The sequence below is a fragment of the Homo sapiens genome, chromosome 3 (assembly GCF_000001405.40).
Source record: "Homo sapiens chromosome 3, GRCh38.p14 Primary Assembly".
NCBI lineage: Eukaryota > Metazoa > Chordata > Mammalia > Primates > Hominidae > Homo > Homo sapiens.
The window spans coordinates 184,335,549-184,335,803 of NC_000003.12; positions in this window are offsets into that span (position 1 = coordinate 184,335,549).

A 255-nucleotide genomic window follows, 5' to 3' on the forward strand; every position below is an offset into this window, starting at 1 on the left:
CTGGTCCGGAGAAAAGGGAGATTAGTGATAGGACATCCTTGCTAGGCTCTGCTCTCCTACCAGAATGATTCAAGCCCCTGTGTGGGGAAGGCTTTTGGGTTTCGGGTTGTTTATAGCTGGAGAATCCCTTTATGGCTTGAAGGTGTCATCTGTAAAATGAAGGGGCTGGATGCATGAAGGGAGGTTTTGCGACCCCGTGTAGTGTGACTGGGCTGGCTTAGTGAGTGTTCGCCGCCCCTGCCTTCAGGTGGCAGT